This window comes from Homo sapiens, chromosome 22 (genome assembly GCF_000001405.40).
Source record: "Homo sapiens chromosome 22, GRCh38.p14 Primary Assembly".
Taxonomy (NCBI): Eukaryota; Metazoa; Chordata; class Mammalia; order Primates; family Hominidae; genus Homo; species Homo sapiens.
In genome coordinates, this window is record NC_000022.11 from 38,634,882 (window position 1) to 38,656,405 (window position 21,524).

The 21,524-nt window shown below is 47.0% G+C and overlaps 1 protein-coding gene across 18 annotated transcripts in view; it reads right to left on the reverse strand.

The window, feature by feature from the left end:
* The window catches only part of FAM227A (family with sequence similarity 227 member A), a 78,275-nt gene extending 56,764 nt beyond the window's left edge, over positions 1–21,511 (reverse strand). For 8 of the 18 annotated variants that reach the window (XR_937892.2, XR_937893.2, NM_001013647.2 and 5 more), the window contains exons 1-6: positions 21,239–21,511; positions 15,146–15,381; positions 10,682–10,764; positions 4,774–4,843; positions 3,865–3,941; positions 1,570–1,716 (exon numbers count right to left, since the gene is read on the reverse strand). Coding sequence is in view for 16 of the 18 variants with exons in the window: in NM_001013647.2 (NP_001013669.1) it covers positions 1,570–1,716; positions 3,865–3,941; positions 4,774–4,843; positions 10,682–10,764; positions 15,146–15,287 (519 nt within the window). In the remaining 2 variants the exon portion in view is untranslated. The other 10 variants (NM_001291030.2, NM_001384270.1, XM_011530308.4 and 7 more) reach the window with 9 other exon arrangements.

A 21,524-nucleotide genomic window follows, 5' to 3' on the forward strand; every position in this document is an offset into this window, starting at 1 on the left:
GAAGTCCGAATGTAAGAAACAGATGGGACCGACATAGCCCAGAGAGAAGGCAGCAGGAAGAAGCCATGAAGAAGAGAGGAGGGGGTCGGGCGCAGTGGCTCACACCTGTAATCCCAGCACTTTGGGAGGCTGAGGCGGGCGGATCACAAGGTCAGGAGATCGAGAACAGCCTGGCCAACAGTGAAACCCCCGTTTCTAATAAAAATACAAATATTAGCTGGGTGTGGTGGCACATGCCTGTAATCTCAGGCAGGGGAATCGCCTGAATCAGGGAGCGGAGCTTGCAGTGAGCTGAGATCGCGCCACTGCACTCTGTCCAGCCTGGCGACAGAGCGAGACTCTGTCTCAAAAAAAAAAAAAAAAAAAAAGGAAGGAAGGGCATGGGGAGAAGGAGAGGGAGACAGAGATAGAGAGATGGGGTGTGGCTCAAAGCAGCAGTGAGAACTACAGGTAGAACAGACTGAGATGCTGGGTCTCAGGAATGGTGGGGTGACTGGTTAGGAGCTCAGGGGACAATGATCAGAGCTGCTTTGGGGACAAGAGTTATGTGATGAAGAGCCATGAGGCACAGCTGTACAGTGGCCGAGACCATTTCCTGGGCTTCCTCCCTTCTCCAAGACCTCCCTACAAGGATCTCCCATCTCCAGAGTTGCCAGTGTTTGTGTCGCCTGAGCAAACAGGTTCCTCTGGGCCTTAGAATACTTCCTTGCTTTCTTCCCAAGGAACCCAGCATGCTCTAGTGCGCAGCTCTGCAAGGAAGCATACTCACCCCCAGAGGCATGAGAAGAAAATATTCTAACTAATGTCTACATAAGAAAGAAAAGCAATTGGCTGGGCATAGTGGTTCACACCTGTAATCCCAGCACTTTGGGAGGCCGAGGATGGGGAGGGGAAGATGGCTTGAGCCCTGGAGTTGGAGAATAGCCTGGGCAACCTAGCAAGACCTCCTCTCTACAAAAAAATTTTTTTAAAAACTAGCCAGTGTGGTGGTGCATGCTATTCAGGAGGTTGAGGCGGGAGGATCACCTGAGTCTGGGAGTTTGAGGCTGCAGTGAGCTATGATAGTGCCACTGCATTCCAGCCTGGGTACAGAGGGAGACCCTGTCTCAAAAAAGTAAGAAAAAAGAAAAAGAAGGAAAGAAAGAAGAGAGAAAGAGAAAGAGAGAGAAAGAAGGAAAGAAAGAAAGAAAAAAGAAAGGAAGGAAGGAGGGAGGGAAGAAGGAAACAGAAAAGAAAAGAAAAAAGAGAGATTAAGCATACTCATATGCATTGTAGTGATTGGCAACAGAATAAGTATATAATTTATAAACAGACACGTTTCAATGAGGGTTTGTGATAAAAATTGCACACCAGTAGGATATGTGATCAAAACAGTCTGAAGACCGTTGCTCTGGTAGAAGGAATCTAGGTTTTGCAGTGAGGTTGGGCTAGGGTTCCTAGCTCAGCTCAGACACCTGCAAGCCTGTGGCCCTAGGTGAGTTCCTCAGTTTCTCCTGGGGTGTGAAAGGGTGACAGCTGCATTTGCCCCATGGGTTGGCAAACTCAGGGCAGGCACTGCTTTTTCCTCACCTTGCCACTAAGGCAGTCTCTCTCAGCCCGGACCACGTTGCCCACCATGTCACAGAAGTCCACGCCATTCGGAAGCTTGTTTGGCTTGGAGCTGTTGAAGTTGGAATACTGGTACAGCTCTGCCAGCAGATTTTTATCTGCTGTTTTCTGAAGCAAAAGAGCAGAATATGAAAATGGGGTTCACATTTTGACAGTGTGAAACAATAGGCTAGCTTCCCCTCTTTATTATGAAGACAATATAACAACCTTATAGAATGTTGAGAAAATGAGGGGTGTTTAGGATCCTAGGACCCCTTCCAAACTCCTATCTACATTATTTCTTTTTTTTTTTTTTTTTTGAGACGAAATTTCACTCTTGTTGTCCAGGCTGGAGTGCAATGGTATGATCTCGACTCACTGCAACCTCTGCCTCCTGGTTCAAGCAATTCTCCTGCCTCAGCCTCCTGAGTAGCTGGGATTACAGGTGCCCGCCACCATGCCCAGCTAATTTTTTGTATTTTTGGTAGAGACAGGGTTTCTACTAAAAACTGTTGGCCAGGCTGGTCTTGAACTCTTGACATCAGGTGATCCACCTGCCTCAGCCTCCTAAAGTGCTATCTACATTATTTCTGTTTTCCCTTATATGATTTGAGGAAATGTACACGAACACAAATACGTAACTTCAATCGTAATATGATTTATATATGATTCGTCTGGCTGACTTTGATCGTTCTAAGAAGTAAAATATATATGTGATTTTTATGTCCTGCTTTATCTACTTCACTTTAGATTTTCATGTAGTTATGTTGTCTTCAGAATTATCATTTAAGATGATATATCCTGTTAAGACGTGCTATAATTTAATTAACTACTCACTGATTACTTCCAATTACTACTAATATCACGAATAGCTTGGAGCATGTAGTTCCCCTCCCTTTGGGGTTATTTAGTGTGAATTTCTTAAAATGCTAATATTGGATATTACTATCTTTGTGGTTAATATATATCATTAAATGATTTTTAGGATAAAACTAAAACATGATGACTATAAAAAATGTAAAAATATGGAAAATAGGAAACTAATTACCGCCACCCAAAGGTGCCCACTGAAACACCTGGATGGCCCAGCTGACTTCCTAACTGGGCTCTGGCCATGGTCAATGAAAGAACAGTTCATGATTCACGGCACTGACTCTGAGTTAGATGACTGCAGTCAGGTGGCAGCTCCGCCATGTGCTGGCTGTGCCACCTTTGCAGGACACTTAGCTCAGCCACCATCAATGGATTGTATGACAGTTCCAATGCAGACCCACACCTCCCTTAGGCCTTGTGCTGTTTTGGAATTTCCTAGGCTAAAAGGTGTTAAGAAGGATAAGAACAACATACTGTTTCAGATTCCCTAGCAGTTAAAGGTTTGGATACTTAAGACCTAGGCAGTGTAAAGAACAAGCTAAGGGCTGGGCACGGTGGCTCACACCTGTAATCCCAGCACTTTGGGAGGCTGAGATGGACAGATCACTTGAGGTCAAGAGTTCGAGACCAGCCTAGCCAACATGGTGAAACCCCATCTCTACCAAAAATGCAAATTTAGCCAGGTGTGGTGGTGCATGTCTTAATCCCAGCTACTTGGGAGGCTAAGACAGGAGAATCACTTGAACCCTGGGGGCGGAGGTTGCAGTAAGCTGAGATCGTGCCACTGCACTCCAGCCTGGGTGACAGAGAGAGACCCCATCTCAAAAAGAAAAAAAGAAATAAAGAACAAGCCAAGGAGGATCTGAAATGGGGGGCTGTGCGGTGGGGCCAGATTGCTGCAGGGGAGGCAGTGGGGAGAGCCTGTCTCAAGTCAGAGGACTGAGCAGGAAGTGGGGCCTGCCATCAGTGAGCTGCATGACCCTGTGACAAGTCACCTTCTGCTCCTGAATCTCAGCTTCCTGAGGCATCCGCAGCAACTCTGCAGTGGTACAACTAGCATGGGGTGTGACTCAGAGCAGCTGCACAGGAGCCTGCAGTGTGGACAGCCCCTTGAAGCTGCATGGCACAGTGGCTCTGGATTAGACCTGAACATCTCTGAGCAGAGACACCTTCTAAGTTCTAAAAATAAACAGACACATGACCTCTGTCACCTTCCCTATTCTGAGGCTGGGGTCAGCTCTGCTGTTGTAAGGGTGTTATGAGAAATTCTAGATTCAGGAGCTCTGCGATTTTTCCTTCATAATCACTACCCAGGCACCAAGTATTCTCCTCCCCAGGAATAAAATCTTTATTTCATGCCTAGCAGAAGCCGGTCAGAAACAGACACAGCAGTAGATCCCTTACCCTTTTTATAACAGAAGATCTGGCATGTCTGAGTTCGGAGCCTTTGCAGGAATACTGAGATTTCCTTTGTCTCTTGACTGCAGAAAAATGGAGAAAGAGATAAATGAGTAACCACAGGGTCTGTCCACAGCTGTGCGGTGCTTACAACTGTGCTTTTTCATTCCACTTGAGCTGCCAGAGGACACTCCTACTACTAGTCTCATAGGTCCCAACTGTGTTGCCGACTTATCTGATTAGACCACTTGATCCAGAGAAGCAGCAAGGAGGAGCAGACAGACTGTGACTTTAGGTAAGTTACTCCCCTCCCTCCAAGGCTGTTTCCTCATCTATAAAATATATTAAATGGTACCTACTTCCCAGGTGTTATAAAAATTTAACAAGGGGCCGGGCACAGTGGCTCACACCTGTAATCCCAGCACTTTGGGAGGCTGAGGCAGGCGGATCACTTGAGGCCAGGAGTTCAAGAACAGCCTGGCCAACATGGTAAAACCCCATCTCTACTAAAATACAAAAATTAGCCAGGCACGGTGGCGAGCCCCTGTAATCCCAGCTACTCAGGAGGCTGAGGCAGGAGAATTGCTTGAACCCGGGAGGCGGAGGTTGCAGTGAGCAGAGATTACGCCACTGCACTCCAGCCTGGGAGACAGAGCGAGACTCCGTCTCGAAAAAAAAAAAAAAAAACCAAGGGAATGTGGATAAAAGCACCTGGTGCCACATGTAGGTGGTCTCTAAATGGTACTGCCCCTCCCTCCTTCCTTGCCCAATGTCAAGAAGTCAGATTTAAGGCTCCTTCAGAAGAAGACAGAAACATCCTCATCTGAAACTTGGGATTCCTACTCAGTTGCATTTTAGATACTAAAAAAACAAACCCCATGAAAAGAGCATCAAGGCTGAGGGAAAGGTTTTTGCCTTTGTCTTCTGGACTGCTGCGAGTTTTCTCTCTTAAAGCCTTCTTCTCCAACTCAAATCTCTCAATTGCCTTCAAAAACCAAGAAAAAGGGGGGCATTAGGGATTAATGCAAATCCTGGAGAAGGGTGGGGTTAGGGTCTAGGCGTTTCCTCTTGTTGGTGCACAAAAGACCTGGAGCAAAGTTTGTGGACAGTGCCTTGTCTTTCCAGGTGGTAGGTCCTGGTGGCCTCAGTGTCACTGACATCATCCCCCAGAGTGTCCCCACTGTCTCACACTGCCCCTTCTTCTAGGAGTATGTGATTTAGAGCAGGAATTAGAAATTAAACAAGCTATTGTTTAATCTCTTTGTAAAAGGGGGATAATAATATCTATCTTCCAGGGTTCTTTTTTTTTTTTGAGACGGAGTCTCGCTCTGTTGCCCAGGCTGGAATGCAGTGGTGCAATCTCGGCTCACTGCAAGCTCCGCCTCCTGGGTTCACCCCATTCTCCTGCCTCAGCCTCCCGAGTAGCTGGGACTACAGGCGCCTGCCACCACGCCCGGCTAATTTTTTGTATTTTTAGTAGAGATGGGGTTTCACCGTGTTAGCCAGGATGGTCTTGATCTCCTGACCTCCTCATCTGCCCACCTCGGCCTCCCAAAGTGCTGGGATTACAGGTGTGAGCCACCACGTCCAGCCTCTTCTAGGGTTCTTATAAGGGTCAAAAATAAAGTGTTTAATGTATTTTAAAACACTGGCAAAGAGGCTACCAGATAGGAGCTGTTCAATAAGGGGTCTCTATTATCTACCCTTGACCTCTCAAGAGAGACTTCTCTTGATCTCTGACTCTTCCCCACCCCCATCCTCCTACGCCCCTGAAAAGGAAGACAGAAAAATGAATGCTAGTGACCCAAGTTGCATTGATTGTCAACCAAGAGTCCAGCAATGAGCTTGGATAACAAAGTTAACAAACAAGTATGAGTCTGTGTTTTTGCCCTCAAGGGACTTACACTCTATTTGGAGAGCCAAATCAGCACTCGTGGAACAATTAAATGCTAAACTGCTGTGATTACGAATCAAAGTGAGGTCAACGTGGGCCAGAGCAGTCACAGAGGACTGTCCAGAAGAGGTGGACATGAGTGTTGGTGGCATCAGGCTCCTGAGCTTGATAAACTGGGAAATACCTCTCCAGGCCTCCCCCATCTTTCCCTTGCATCAGCACTCCCTGGTCTGCATGAGTGAAAGGTACTGGGCATGTGTGCAGGGGTGTGTGTATGTGTGTGTGCCAGTGGTGGGGGGGCGGTCACAGGGGTTAGTCTATGTATTAACATTGTTGCTCCAATTAAGTAAGCTGAAATTTAAGGCATGAGGAATGAATTGGATGGGTATGAGTCACTGTAGCAATATAGCAATATCTCTGATCTTTACCAATGTCATTATAGCAGACACTGTATGGCCTGGAAGGATGGATAAGATTTGCACAGAAAGAGGGGAGAGAAAGGATAGTTGAATGCTGAAAGAAGAGCAAGTTTTGGGGGGAAAGATGGTAAGACCAGCACTGGGCTGAGTTTACCTTTGAGATGACTTCAGGGCCTACAAGCAGGGCTGTTCTCCAGGAAGGCAACTCCCAAACCGGACCAATGACCGGCATTTTGGGGAAGTATTCAAATACACAGATTCCCGGGCCTTTGCATTAGAGATGCTTATTTCCTGGGTCTGCATTGGGTCCTGAATTTTTTATGCATTTATAGTGGCTCCTGAATAAAAAATTAGCCGGGCGTGGTGGCACGTGCCTATAATCCCACTACTTGGGAGGCTGAGGCAGGAGAATTGCTTGAACTTGGGAGGCGGAGGTTGCAGTGAGCTGAGATCGCACCATTGCACTCCAGCCTGGGCGACAAGAGTGAAACTCCATCTCAAAAAAAAAAAAAAAAACAAAACAAAGAGAGAAAAACCTGCAGGCGAACTTGCCTGCAGCTCACAGGATCTCTCAAAGAGTACATCTTCATCATTGTAATCCTCTGCCTCATAGCCACCATCGAGAAGCAGGTCTTTAGTAGCGACTTGTTGGTTGACATTTCTTTGCTGCTCTCATTTTCAAATCTCTCTATCTCCATATCTTAGAGCTCTTTAGATTTATGCCTCAGATTTCTTAAGTGCAGTTAAAAATAAGAAACAAATACACGACATTGCCAAAACCCAAAATAGCCAAAAAGACACTTACAGATGATTCACGCCTGTGTTCTTCCATCTTGTGGGAGCCTGCTACACAACAGCTACTTGCTTAACATTTAGCACTCCTGCCTCCCGAAAAGGTGTGTGTGTGTGTGTGTGTGTGTGTGCGCACGTGTGTGTGCGCGTGTGTTTGAGAATTATTGAAGGGTTTGTATTTTTTCCCAATAAAAATGTACCAAAATTAACCTTCAGACTTCTCATTTCAGGTCCACATGTAAGGATCTCATAAGTCACCATTCTGTCCCAATAATAAGTAAAGCTGAATAAACTGAAAAATCAACAACTCTTCTTAGATCATTCAGAGAAGTGAGGTCACAGGGCAAACTACTGCCTGAAAACTGAACAGACAGGTAGGTAGATACAGAGAATGCCAACTGGCAGGAGAATAAACCCATGGGCAGAAACCTCCATGGGAACCAGTAGCAAAGCCAAAACTGTCATAAATGAATTCTGGAGGCTCAGTGTAGACACCCTGAGAGGTAAAAACTCCAGCCATCACAAAAATGAACTCAAAATGAATCAAAATCAAATGTAAACATAAAACTATAAAACCCCTAGAAGACAAGAGGAGAACACCTAGGTGACCTTGGGTTTGGCCATGACTTTTTAGATATGACACAGAAGGTACAATCCATGAAGGAAATGATAAGTTAGATTTCGTTAAAATTAAAAATTTCTGCTCTGTGAAAAGACACTGTCAAGAGAATGAAGTGACAAGTCACATATTAGGAGAAAATATTTGCAAGAAAATCCAACAAAAGGCTGTTACCCAAAATATTCAAAGAGGCCGGGCGTGGTGGCTCACGCCTGTAATCCCAGCACTTTGGGAGGCCAAGGTGAGCGGATCACTTGAGGTCGGGAGTTTGAGACCAGCCTGGCCAACATGGTGAAACCCTGTCTCTACTAAAAATACAAAAATTAATTGGGCGTGGTGCCACATGTCTGTAATCCCAGCTATTAGGGAGGCTGAGGCAGGAGAATCGTTTGAACCCAGGAGGTGGAGGTTGCAGTGAGTCCAGATTGCACCACTGCACTCTAGCCTGGGTGACAGAGTGAGACTCCGTCTCAAAAAAACAAAAACAAAAAAACAACCCAAAACAAAATATTAAACGAAATCTTAAAACTCAACAATAAGAAAATAACCTGATTTAAAAATGGGCTAAAGGTTGGGCATGGTGGCTCACGCCTGTAATCTCAGCACTTTGGGAGGCCGAGGCGGGTGGAACACCTGAGGTCAGGAGGTCGAGACCAGCCTAGCCAACATGGTGAAACCCAGTCTCTACTAAAAATACAAAAAATGAGACGGGAGTGGTGGTGGGTGCCTGTAATCCCAGCTACTCAGGAGGCCGAGGCAGGAGAATCACTTGAACCTGGGAGGTAGAGGTTGCAGTGAGCCAAGATCACGCCACTGCACTCCTGCCCGGGTGACAGAGCAAGATTCTGTCTCAAAAAAAAAAAAATAGTGGGTGGGGGTTGGCGCTAAAGGTTGAACAGACACCTCAACAAGGAAGATCTGCAGACTATAAATAAGCACATAAAAAGACGGATGTCCCTGGGGAAATGAAAACTAAAACAGCAATGGGATACCACTACGCAGCAATCAGAATGACCAAAATCTAGAACACTGACAACACCAAATACTGGTGAGAACGTGGAGCCGCAAGAACCCTCATCCACTGCGGGTGGGAAGGAAAAATGTTAACACCACTTTGGAAGAGCGTTTGCCGGTTTCTTACAAAACTAAACTCTCACCATAGGATCTAGCAATTGTGCTCCCTGGTATTTACTTACATGAAGTGAAAACTTATGCCCACACAAAGACCTGGACATGGATGCTTACAGCAGTTTTATCTGTAATTGCCAAAACTTGGAGGCAACCAAGATGTCCCTGAGTAGTGGACAAATAAACCATGGTACGTTCAGACAATGGAATATTTGGCACTAAAAAGAAATGAACTATCAAGCCATGAAAAGATGGGTTGTTCCCAGAGGGAACTGGCCAGGCGCAGTGGCTCACGCCTGTAATCCCAGCACTTTCGGAGGCTGAGGCGGGCGGATCACGAGGTCAGGAGATCGAGACCACCCTGGCTAACATGGTGAAACCCCGTCTCTACTAAAAATACAAAAAATTAGCCTGGCGTGGTGGCGGGCGCCTGTAGTTCCAGCTATCGGGAGGCTGAGGCAGGAGAATGGTGTGAACCCGGGAGGCAGAGCTTGCAGTGAGCCGAGATCACGCCACTGCACTCCAGCCTGGACGAGAGTGTGAGACTCCATCTCAAAAAAAAAAAAAAAAAAAAAAAGATGTGGAGGAAACTAAAAAGCATACTAAGTGAAAGAAGCCAACGTAAAAAGGCTACGTACTATATGATTCCAACTATATGGCATTATGGGAAAGGTAAAACTGGGGAGAGTAAAAACAACAGTGGTTCCCAGGGGTTAGGGAGTAAAAAGAGGTGAACAGGTGGAGCACAGAGGACTGTTGGGACAGCGAAACTATGCTGTGTGACACTACAATGGTAGATACATGTCATTAAAGAGGTGAACAGGTGGAGCACAGAGGACTGTTGGGACAGCGAAACTATGCTGTGTGACACTACAATGGTAGATACATGTCATTAAAGAGGTGAACAGGTGGAGCACAGAGGACTGTTGGGACAGCGAAACTATGCTGTGTGACACTACAATGGTAGATACATGTCATCATTTGTCCAAATTCGTAGAATGTACAACACCAAGAATCCTATTGTAAACTCTGAATGTCGAGTGATGATGATGTAACAATGTAGGTCCGTTAATTCTAACTAATGTGCCACTATCTTATGGAATGTCAACAGTGGGGGAGATTGTGCATGCGCAGGAGCAGAGGGTGTATGAAAAAAGTGTACTCTCTGCTCGATTTCGCTGTGAACTTATAATTGCTCTAAAAAATAAAGTTTAGGCCGGGCGTGGTGGCTCACGCCTGTAATCCCAGCACTTTGAGAGACTGAGGTGGGTGGATCACTTGAGGTGGGGAGTTTGAGACCAGCCTGACCAACATGGTGGAACCCTTTCTCTACCAAAAATACAAAAAATTAGCCGGGTATGGTGGCACACGGCTGTAGTCCCAGCTACTCGGGAGGCTGAGGCAGGAAAATCACTTGAAAGGGAGGCGGAGGTTGCAGTGAGCCAACATCGCACCACTGCACTCCAGTCTGGCGACAGAGCAAGTCTCTGTCTCAAAAATAAATAAATAAAGTTTATTGGCCGGGCGCGGTGGCTCACGCCTGTAATCCTAGCACTTTGGGAGGCCAAGGCGGGCAGATCACGAAGTCAAGAGAGCGAGCCCATCCTGGCCAACATGGTGAAACCCCGTCTCTACTAAAAAATACAAAAATTAGCTGGGCATGGTGGCACGCACCTGTAGTCCCAGCTGCTCGGGAGGCTGAGGCAGGAGAATCGCTTGAACCCAAGAGACAGAGGTTGCAGTGAACCGAGATTGTGCCACTGCACTCTAGCCTAGCAACAAAGCGAGACTCCATCTCAAAAAAAAATAAAAAATGTTTATTAATTTTTAAAAAAATTAACTTTGAATACTCAATTGTGTAAACATGTTTTCAAATAAATGGAGAGGCCCCAGGGCACTGCAACACCTTGATGATCCCCGGGGCCCTTCCCTGTCAGAAGCTTTGTCTCAGCTCCAGCATAGGTAACTCACCAGGCTGTTGGCCGACGGCTCGGTACGCAGATTTATGTCAGCAATCTTTTGGTTCACCTGGTGCATGGAGCCAATAAGGCATGCTGGGAGGTTAGTCTGCTAAGGAAACTCAGGGTGATGATTACACACACAACAGGATGGGGCTTGTCTGGTGAGAAGGGCAGCCCCTGTCTGCACAGCCTCTCTCCTTAATTATTTTCTTTGCATTCAGAGTTTTCACATTTCTTTCTTCCTTTTTTCTGAGACAGGGCCACGCTTTGTTGCCCATGCTGGAGTGCAGTGATGCAATCATGGGTCACTGCAGCAGACCTCCCGGGCTCAATCGATCCTCCCACCTCAGCCTCCCAAGTAGCTGGGACTACTGGCGCACACCACCACCCCTGGCCTATTTTTAAAATTTCTTGTAGAGATGCAGTTTCGCCATGTTTCCCAGGCTGATCTCAAACTCCTGGGCTCAAGTGATCCACTCACCTCAGCCTCCCAAAGTGCTCAGATCACAGGCATGAGCCACCGCACCTAGCCCATATTTCTTTATCTTGTTTTAAATGAGATACTTTGCAAATTATAAATGAGAGTTGACCATATTATAGACACCTTGGAACATATAAAAAGTGAAAAAGAGCCATCCATAATGCCACCACCCTAACAACTCTGTTAGGACTTGGGAATTTTCCTTCCAGTATTTCTTTTTTTTTTTTTTTTTTTTTTTTTTTTTGAGACGGAGTCTCGCTCTGTCGCCCAGGCTGGAGTGCAGTGGCGGGATCTCGGCTCACTGCAAGCTCCGCCTCCCGGGTTCACGCCATTCTCCTGCCTCAGCCTCCCAAGTAGCTGGGACTACAGGCGCCCGCCACTACGCCCGGCTAATTTTTTTTTGTATTTTTAGTAGAGACGGGGTTTCACCGTTTTAGCTGGGATGGTCTCGATCTCCTGACCTCGTGATCCGCCCGCCTCGGCCTCCCAAAGTGCTGGGATTACAGGCGTGAGCCACCGCGCCCGGCCCAGTATTTCTTACATACATATTTTTGTCTGTATTTACAATCTGAGTGTACGCCTGTTTTACTACTCTGATTTCTCTTCCAGTCATTATTATTATTATTTTTTTTTTTGAGATGGAGTCTCACTCGCCCGGCCACTCTTCCATTCATTATTATGAGCATTTTTCCCTTTGGCTAAAGGAGCTTCATGATAATCATTTTAAATGACATTATACTAATCCATGTAGAAGATACACCTTAATATACTTAACTGTTCCTTGGATATTGAAATTTTAAGTTATTTATACTTTTTGGCAATTATAAATAATGCTGGCTGGGCACGGTGGCTCACTCCTGTAATCCCAGCACTTTGGGAGGCTGAGGCGGGCAGATCACGATGTTAGGAGTTTGAGACCAGCCTGGCCAGCATAGTGAAACCCCGTCTCTACTAAAAATACAAAAAATTAGCTGGGCGTGGTGGCGGGTGCCTGTAATCCCAGCTACTTGGGAGGCTCAGGCAGGAGAATCGCTTGAACCAGGAGGTGGAAGTTGCAGTGAGCCAAGATCGTGCCACGGCACTCCAGCCCGTGCGATGGTGCGAGACTCCATCTCAAAAATAAATAAAATAAAACAAAACAATGCTGTGTGCCAGGCACGGTGGCTCACGCCTGTAATCTCAGCCCTTTGGGAGGCTGAGGCAGGTGGATCACTTGAGGTCAGGAGTTCGAGACTAGCCTGGCCAACATGGTGAAATCCCGTCTCTACTAAAAATACAAAAATTAGCAGGGCATGGTGGCAGACGCCTATAGTCCCAGCTACTTGAGCGCTGAGGCAGGAGAATCTCTTGAACCCAGGAGGCGGACGTTGCAGTGAGCTGAGATTGCGCCACTGCACTCCAGCCTGAGTGACAAAAAAAAACAAAACAACGAAACAACAAAAAAAAGAAAAATAAATAATGCTGTGATGCATGTGTGATGTCACAGAGAGCTGTTTCCATATTTTAGAGTATTTCTTTATGAGAGATTTTCAGGGGACAGATGACGGCGTCAAAGGGTATCTCAACCTTGTTTATCACTTAAAATCTGTTCAGTTCTATGGCCCCTCTTCCTACCCTCTCAGCTTTTATATTTCTTTCTGTCTTAGCCTCAATTGATCTAGGATATATCCTTTGTAAAACCCCCATAATCCTATCACCCCTCACTCCCTTCACATAAAGCAAGGTTCACTCTTACTTTCATTACCCTCAAGTGTTCTTACAAATTGGAGGATACTTGAAAAAGGAAGATACCAAGAAGGGACATGACAAATCACAGCAGGTAAAATGGACTTCTTAGGTGTGGGATTAAGAAGAAAGAGGGGACATTAGAAAGCAGCCCTGCAAAGTGAGACCCTGAAGCAAATTCTGATGGGATCACACTTTGCCTCATCTTAAGAAGGGCTTCTGAGAGGCAAGGAAGGTGAGGGGGGCAGAGTGGTACATGCAGCTGAGCTGGCAGGATGGCTTGAAGGTAAATGAGCTCCACAGGAGATGGAAAGACCTGGGGTTATTTATAGTCCGAGAGGGTTATTTACTGGACGAGCTGTAAGGTCCTCCAGAGATGGAGTTCTGTGACCCTGGAATACAACTCAGGGTCAGAAGTGAGAAGAGGATGAACGAAGACAGGGCCAGGGCAGTAAGATGCTGGTAGAGCCTGGACGATGCCAGAAGGAGCAGATTTGGGGCCAGGGAGAAGGGCTGGCAGGTGAGAAGAGGCAAGGTCAACTTGATTAAAAAAAAAAAAAAAAAAAGGCTGGGTGCAGTGGCTCATGCCTGTAATCCCAAGCACTTTGGGAGGCTGAGGCAGGCGGATCACCTGAGGTCAGGAGTTCGAGACCAACCTGACCAACATGGAGAAACCCTGTCTCTTCTAAAAATACAAAATTAGCCAGACGTGGTGGCACATGCCTGTAATCCCAGCTACCTGGGAGGCTGAGGCAGGAGAACTGCTTGAACCCGGGAGGTGGAGGTTGCAGTGAGCCGAGATCATGCCACTGCACTCCAGCCCGGGCGACAGAGTGAGACTCTGTCTCAGAAACAAACAAACAAAATATTTAAAGAACTCTTAAAAACTCGACAGTAAGAAAATACACAACCTGATTTAAAAATGGGCTAAAGGTTGGGTGCGGTGGCTCACGCCTGTAATCCCAGCACTTTGGGAGGCTGAGGTGGGTGGACCACCTGAGGTCAGGAGGTCGAGACCAGCCTGACAAACATGGTGAAACCCCGTCTCTACTAAAAATACAAAAATTAGCCAGACGTGGTGGTGGGTGCCTGTAATCTCGGCTACTTGGGGGCTGAGGCAGAAGAATCCCTTGAACCTGGGAGGCAGAGGTTGCAGTGAGCCGAGTCTATGCCACTGCACTCCAGCCTGAGCAACAGAGTGAGACTCTGTCTCAAAAAAAAAAAAAAGAAAAAGCTGGGTTTCATGCTCATCTGTCTGAGGGTGGAGGGTTGCACCACAATTTCTTAGTTGCTATCAATAACATCTATAATTCTTTGGGAGATAGAAGGGAAAGATGGCAACCACTTTTTAAAATTAGCTTTTAAAATATTCTTCCCCATTCTTTCCACAAATACTTCCAGAGCTTCTTCCTTTGGGGCTCTTTCTGATTATGTTAGTAAAAAATACTGGAGTCAAACAGTCCTTCACAGTCTCAAATTCTTTTAGAGGATGGGTAGAGTTTAAGTAATTGAAAAAATGTATCTGGCCAGATGCGGTGGCTCATGCCTGTAATCCCAGCACTTTGGGAGGTCAAGGCGGGCAGATCACCTGAGGTCAGGAGTTCAAGACCAGCCTGGCCAACATGGTGAAACCCCATCTCTACTAAAAATACAAAAAATTAGCTGGACATGGTGACAGGCGCCTGTAATCCCAGCTACTCGGGAGGCTGAGGCAGGAGAATCACTTGAACTTGGGAAGTGGAGGTTGCAGTGAACTGAGACTGCACCACCGCACTCCAGCCTGGGCAACAGAGTGAGACTCTGTCTCAAAAAAAAAAAAGGAATATGGCTGGGCGAGGTGGCTCATGACTGTAATCCCAGCACTTAGGGAGGCCGAGGCAGGTGGATCACTTGAGGTCCGGGGTTCAAGACCAGCCTGGCCAACATGGTGAAACCCCATCTCTACTAAAAATATAAAATATTAGCCAGGTGTGGTGGCAGGCACCTGTAATTTCAGCTACTCAGGAGGCTGAGGCAGGAGAACTGCTCGAACCTGGGAGGTAGAGGTTGCAGTGAGCTGGGACTGTGCCACTGCACTCCAGCCTGGGTAACAGTGTGAAACTCCATCTCAAAAAAAAAAAAGAAAGAAAAGAAAAGAAAAAATGAATGTATAAGGGACAAGCTAATAAGTAATGTGCATTATAGACCTGAGCACTGATTAGATCTCTGTGGCATGACTCAAGTTAGGTGTATTTGGTCTGATTGTAGGTGACATCACCAGAAGGATACAGGGTGGATTGTTCTCTAACTCCTTCCTCACAGTCTTCACCATTGTATTCCGTGCGACAAGCGAGACAGCCAGGTGCTCATCCACTGGTATCATAGGTAGGGTGGTGAGGTTGATGACCTCCATCTTCCTGAAGTGATTCATTGTCCAATTTCTTGTAAATGGACAAACAAAAAGCTTCCACTTTTAAGAGCCTCTCATTTCCCACTCCAATCTTGTCGTTTGTTTAATCAGCCTCCTGGAAATCATAAACAGCATAGAGCCAGCTCAGAAAACACAAGAAGAAAAGCCCAACCATGTTCCCCAGCTACACAGGGTTGATGGCAAAGCACATGTCCCATGCCTGCATGGGGAATGAAAGGGTTCCGTCTGAGAAGCCTATTCTTAAATGAGGATTTCAAGGTATATGGACTTGTTCTTCCAATGTCTGATGCCTGACTCTCCCTCTGCCCCTCCCCCATGATGAAAATTGTTCTAGTTTTAAAAATAAGGAAACTAGAATGCGGAAAAGGCCAGGGCTCCAGACTACTCCAGACCACTCAGCAAGTCAGTTCCCAAACGAGAAATGAAATCAGATCTCTTTGCTTCTCTGAGTCCCAACTCTAAAAGAGATTTGGATTAGGTGACCCTAAGGCTCTCTCCAGCTTTCCGATGCTGTGATTCTAGAATAAGGGGTCCATCTCCTCAGCGCGAGGCTCCTGATCAACCTGAAGCTTTCTGCTCCCTCTCAGAAAACTGGCCCCAACCCTACTCTTCCTCCTTGGCTCTGCAACACTCTGGTCTAACAGCTCTCCTGGGTCCTTGCTTGTTGGCCAGGAACCCATTACTTCCATCTGTGGGCCCTCTATGTCCAGAGTCTAGTGTGATAGGCCTCGTTATAATACAGCAAAAGACTTAGATCCTGCCCTCTAGAAGCTCATACATAACGGAAGGACAGAGAAAACGTTGAGTTTGGTGGGAACATGAACTCAAATGCCCTTTCACCATACTCTCCTTCCCTCTCCTCCGGTTCAGGCCTTTGCTCCATCTTCTCCACAGACATGCATCTTACATGCCAGACCCGCAGAACTTCTTCCTGCTCCCTGACCACACAATGCTCTTCCTACCTCTATGCCTTTCCAGATGTGGTTCCCTCTGTTGGACTACGCCCAGGTGACATATCTGTGGAAACCTTCTCAAATAATTCCAAGCCATTAGCACCATGCCTCCTCTGCAAAGCCCAAGGTTCTGCATTCATCTATCACAGGACTCACAATAGTGAACTGGAATGATTTGCTTCTACTGCTTTCTCCACTAGGCAAATTATGGATTAACTGTGATTCCTTTTAGACTTACCATGGTTTTTTGTTTGTTTGTTTGTTTGTTTTGAGACAGCGTCTTGCTCTGTCGTCCAGACTGGAGTGCAGTGGCGCGATCTTGGCTCACTCACTGCAGCCTTGACATCCTGGATTCAAGCCTCCCGTGTAGCTGCGACTACAGGTACCTGCCACCCACAACTGCCTAATTTTTGTATTTTTAGTAGAGATGGGGTTTCACCATTTTGGCCAGGCTGGTCTCGAACTCCTGACCTCAGGTGATCCACCCACCTTGGCCTCTCAAAGTGCTGGGATTACAGGCGTGAACCACCACTCCCAGCCCCTTCTGAATATTTCATACCATTTTAGGTATTCTCTGAAACATGGTAAGTTTTTACTGCCATTACTTGGGGAGGATAAAAGGAGAGGGAAGAAAACTAGCTTCCTTAAATATCTACCCTGTGGCAAGCAATATGATGTGCTGGGGGCAGGGCAGAAGAGTGGAAGAGTAAGAAACCTTCTGCCCTCATGGAGCACACATTCTGGCAGTCAAGATTCAAATGCCCTGTTTAAAGTTAACATATTTGGGCTGGGCGTGGTGGGTCACGCCTGTAATCCCAGCACTTTGGGAGGCCGAGGCAGGCGAATCATGAGGTCAAGAGTTCGAGACCAGCCTGGCCAACGTGGTGAAACGCCATCTCTACTAAAATACAAAAATTAGCTGGGCATGGTGGCAGGCCCCTGTAATCCCAGCTACTAGGGAGGCTGAGGCAGGAGAATCGCTTGAACCTGGGAGGTGGAGGTTGCAGTGAGCTGAGATCATGCCACTGCATTCCAGCCTGAAAGACAGAGTAAGACCCTGTCTCAAAATAAATAAATAAAGTTAACATATTTGATGCTTCTCAGAAGAGGCGATATGAAAAAAAGAAAAATTAAAATAACAAAAAAGTTAATATATTTGAGCATATAAAAACAACGCTGACTTTAGGCCAGGCGCAGTGGCTCACACCTGTAATCCCAGCACTTTGGGAGGCCGAGGCAGGCAGATCATGAGGTCAGGAGATCGAGACCATCTGGCTAACATGGTGAAACCCCGTTTCTACTAAAAAATACAAAAAATTAGCCGGGCATGGTGGCGGGCACCTACAGTCCCAGCTACTTGGGAGACAGAGGCAGGAGAATGGCGTGAACCCAGGAGGCGGAGCTTGCAGTGAGCCGAGATCACGCCACTGCACTCCAGCCTGGGCGACAGAGCGAGACTCCATCTCAAGAAAAAAAAAAAAAAGGTCGGGCGTGGTGGCTTACGCCTATAATCCCAGCACTTTGGGAAGCCGAGGCAGGTGGATCACGAGGTCAGGAGATCGAGACCATTCTGGCTAACATGGTGAAACTCCGTCTCTACTAAAAATTAGCCTGGCGTGGTGGCGGGCTCCTGTAGTCCCAGCTACCAGGGAGGCTGAGGCAGGAGAATGGCGTGAACCTGGGAGGCGGGGCTTGCAGTGAGCCGAGATCACACCACTTCACTCCAGCCTGGGTGACAGAGCAAGACTCCATCTCAAAAAAAAAAAAAAAAAAAAATGCTGACTTTAGCATCTGACAGACTTTTTAGTATAACCCTCAGTCATACAATCAGGGGTCCCCAACCCCAGGGCCATGGATGGGTGTAGGTCTGTGGCCTGTTAGGAACCAGGCCACACAGCAGGAAGTGAGTGGCAGGTGAGTGAGAGAAGCTTGTCTGTATTTACAGCCACTCCCCATTCCTCACATGACTGCCTGAGCTCTGCCTTCTGTCAGATGAGCTTCAACATTAGATTCTCATAGGAGTGCAAACCCTATTATGAACTGTGCATGCAAGAGACCTAGGTTGTGTGCTCCTTATGAGAATCTAATGCCTGATGATCTGTCACTGTCTCTCAGCACTCCCAGATAGACTGTCTAGTTCCAGGAAAACAAGCTCAGGGCTCCCACTGATTCTACATTATGGTGAGTTGTAGAATTATTTTATTATATGTTACAATGTAATAACAGTAGAAATAAAGTGCACAATGAATGTAATGCTTTTTTTTTTTTTTTTGAGACAGAGTTTCACTCTTGTTGCCCAGGCTGGAATGCAATGGCACAATCTTGGCTCAGTGCAAACTCCGCCTCCTGGGTTCAAGTGATTCTCCTGCCTCGGCCTCTCAAGTAGCTGGGATTACAGGTGCACGCCACCATGCCTGGCTAATTTTTGTATTTTTAGTAGAGATGGGGTTTCACCATGTTGGTCAGGCTGGTCTCAAACTCCTGACCTCGTGATCTGCCTGTCTCAGCCTCCCAAAGTGCTGGGATTACAGGCATGAGCCACCGCACCCGGCCTGTAATGCTCTTGAATCATCCCAAAACCATCCCCCCCATCCCAGGTCTGTGTAAAAATTGTCTTCCATGAAACTGGTTCCTGAAGCCAAAAAGGTTGAGGACTGTGGATGAAATGATTATTTACTGAGTACCTACCATAAGCAAGCAGCATGCTCATACTCGGGACAGGAAAGTGAACTAAACCAGACTTGGTCCCTGCCCTCAAGGGGCTTACATCTACTGGAGGAGACAGGACAATGAGTCAATTACGTAAATCATAATTATGAGTTATAACTGTCATCACTACTTCAAAGGGAACAACACTGTAAGATGACATAATAGTGTGTTTTGACCATACAAGGAGATCAAGGTGCTAAAGGAGGAGCACAAGTTAATTAGATAAAGGGGAGCAGGGCCGGGCGCGGTGGCTCACACCTGTAATCCCACCACTTTAGGAGGCCGAGGCAGGCGGATGACGAGGTCAGGAGATCCAGACCATCCTGGCTAACACGGTGAAACCCCGTCTCCACTAAAAATACAAAAAACTAGCCGGGTGTGATGGCAGGCGCCTGTTGTCCCAGCTACTCTGGAGGCTGAGGCAGGAGAATTGCTTGAACCCAGGAGGCGGAGCTTGCAGTGAGCCGGATCGCGCCACTGCACTCCAGCCTGGGCAACAAGAGCAAAACTCGGTCTCAAAAAAAAAGAAAAAATGGGGAGCGGAAATAATATGCCATCCAAAATGTACCATCCAAGCAGCGGGAAGTGAGGCTGGAAAGGTAGGAAGTGCCCAGACTGTGCTGGCCATCAAAATAGCACTAGCTACATGTGACAATTAAGTCCTTGGAATTTGGTTAATGTGACTGAATAAGTAAAATTTTAAGGCTGAATGCAGTGGCTCATACCTGTAATCCCAATACTTTGGGAGGTGGGGATGATGTCACTGCACTCCAGCCTGGGTGACAGAATGAGACCCTGTCTCAAAAAAATAAACAAAAGGCTGGGCGCGGTGGCTCACGCCTGTAATCCCAGCACTTTGGGAGGCCGAGGCAGGCGGATCATGAGGTCAGGAGATCGAGACCACCCTGGCTAACATGGTGAAACCCCATCTCTACTAAAAATACCAAAAAAAAAAAAAAAAAAAAAAATTAGCTGGGCTTGGTGGCGGGCGCCTGTAATCCCAGCTATTCGAGAGGCTGAGGCAGGACAATGGCATGAACCCAGGAGGCGGAGCTTGCAGTGAGCTGAGATTGTACCACTGCACACTCCAGCCTAGGCGACAGTGCGAGACTCCATCTAAAATAAATAAATAAATAAATAAATAAATACCAAAAAAAAAATTAGCCTGGCATGGTGGCGGGCGCCTGTAGTCCCAGCTACTTGGGAGGCGGAGGCAGGAGAATGGCGTGAACCCAGGAGTCGGAGGTTGCAGTGAGCCAAGATCATGCCACTGCACTCCAGCCTGGGCGACAGAGCGAGACTCTGTCTCGAAAAAAAAAAAAAGTAAAATTTTTTTAAAGTAAAGCAATAAAAGAATGGCTACTCCATAGATAGAACAGCCAAGAGTAAAATTTTAATTTTAATTAATTCAAATTTTGGCCAGGCGCAGTGGCCCGCACCTGTAATACCAGCACTTTGGGAGGCCGAGTCAAGCAGATCACCTGAGGTCAGGAGTTCGAGACCAGCCTGGCCAACATGGTGAAACGCCATCTCTACTAAAAATACAAAAAATTAGCCGGGCATGGTGGTGGGTGCCTGTAATTCCAGCTACTTGGGAGGTGAACACAGCAGAATCGCTTGAACCCGGGAGGCCGAGATCATGCCACTGCAATCCCAGCCTGGGCAACAGAGTGAGACTCTGTCTTAAAAAAAAAAAAAATTAAATTTTTAAATGGAAGCAGTGCAAATTTAGAAATACTGATTATATCTTGAAATAGTAATGTTTTGGACATATGGAGTTTAAAACATTACTCAAATTAATTTCACTTGGCTTTCTTTTTTACTTTTTAAAAAATGTGGCTACTAGAAAATTCCAAATCACATATGTGGCCTGCTTTATGTTTCTATTGCACAATGCTAAGCCAGATTGTGAAGATTTTAGTTCTAGGACATGGAAGTCTCCCCTCTTTTAATGCAGGGTGGTGTAGTTGGAAGAGAACTGCGCTTGGAGTCAAAGACCCCTGGGTCCTGCCCCTCACTGGATGCCCTGATACACCCACTAGGCAGCCGGTAAACTCCTTGAACGGCCTAAGTTTCTGCACTTATCAGACGGAACCAATAACACACGCTTTTAGGACTCTAGGAGATCTGGAGTTGATTCTCCAGTAGTTCTCTGTCCCTTCCTCACAATGCAACCTTTAAGTAGTCCCTGGGCCTCAGCTTCCCTTGCTTGTAGAAGCCGCCATAACGGCACGGGGAGGGGGCAGGCTGCCAGAGGTGGGTCATGGTGCGTCTGTCCGTCCGTCTTACCTGAAAGCATCGGCGGAATTTGACGAACCCGGGGCCGGTCCCGCCACGGGTCCCTCAGGGGACCCCGCAAAGTTCTGGGTCGGCCCCCGACAGCCGGTGCCCCCAAACTCACAGCAAGGGGTGCCCTTTGCCTTGTGCTGGGGGATGAGGAGGGGAGTTGGGGAGAGGCCCATTTTGCTACTCTGAGTCCAGGCGTTCTCTAGGCAACGCCGGCGCGGTCTCCACTTTCCCGTTTAGCATAACAATGGAACCTTCGTGAGCCGCCGCGTTGTCCGCGAGATGCCGT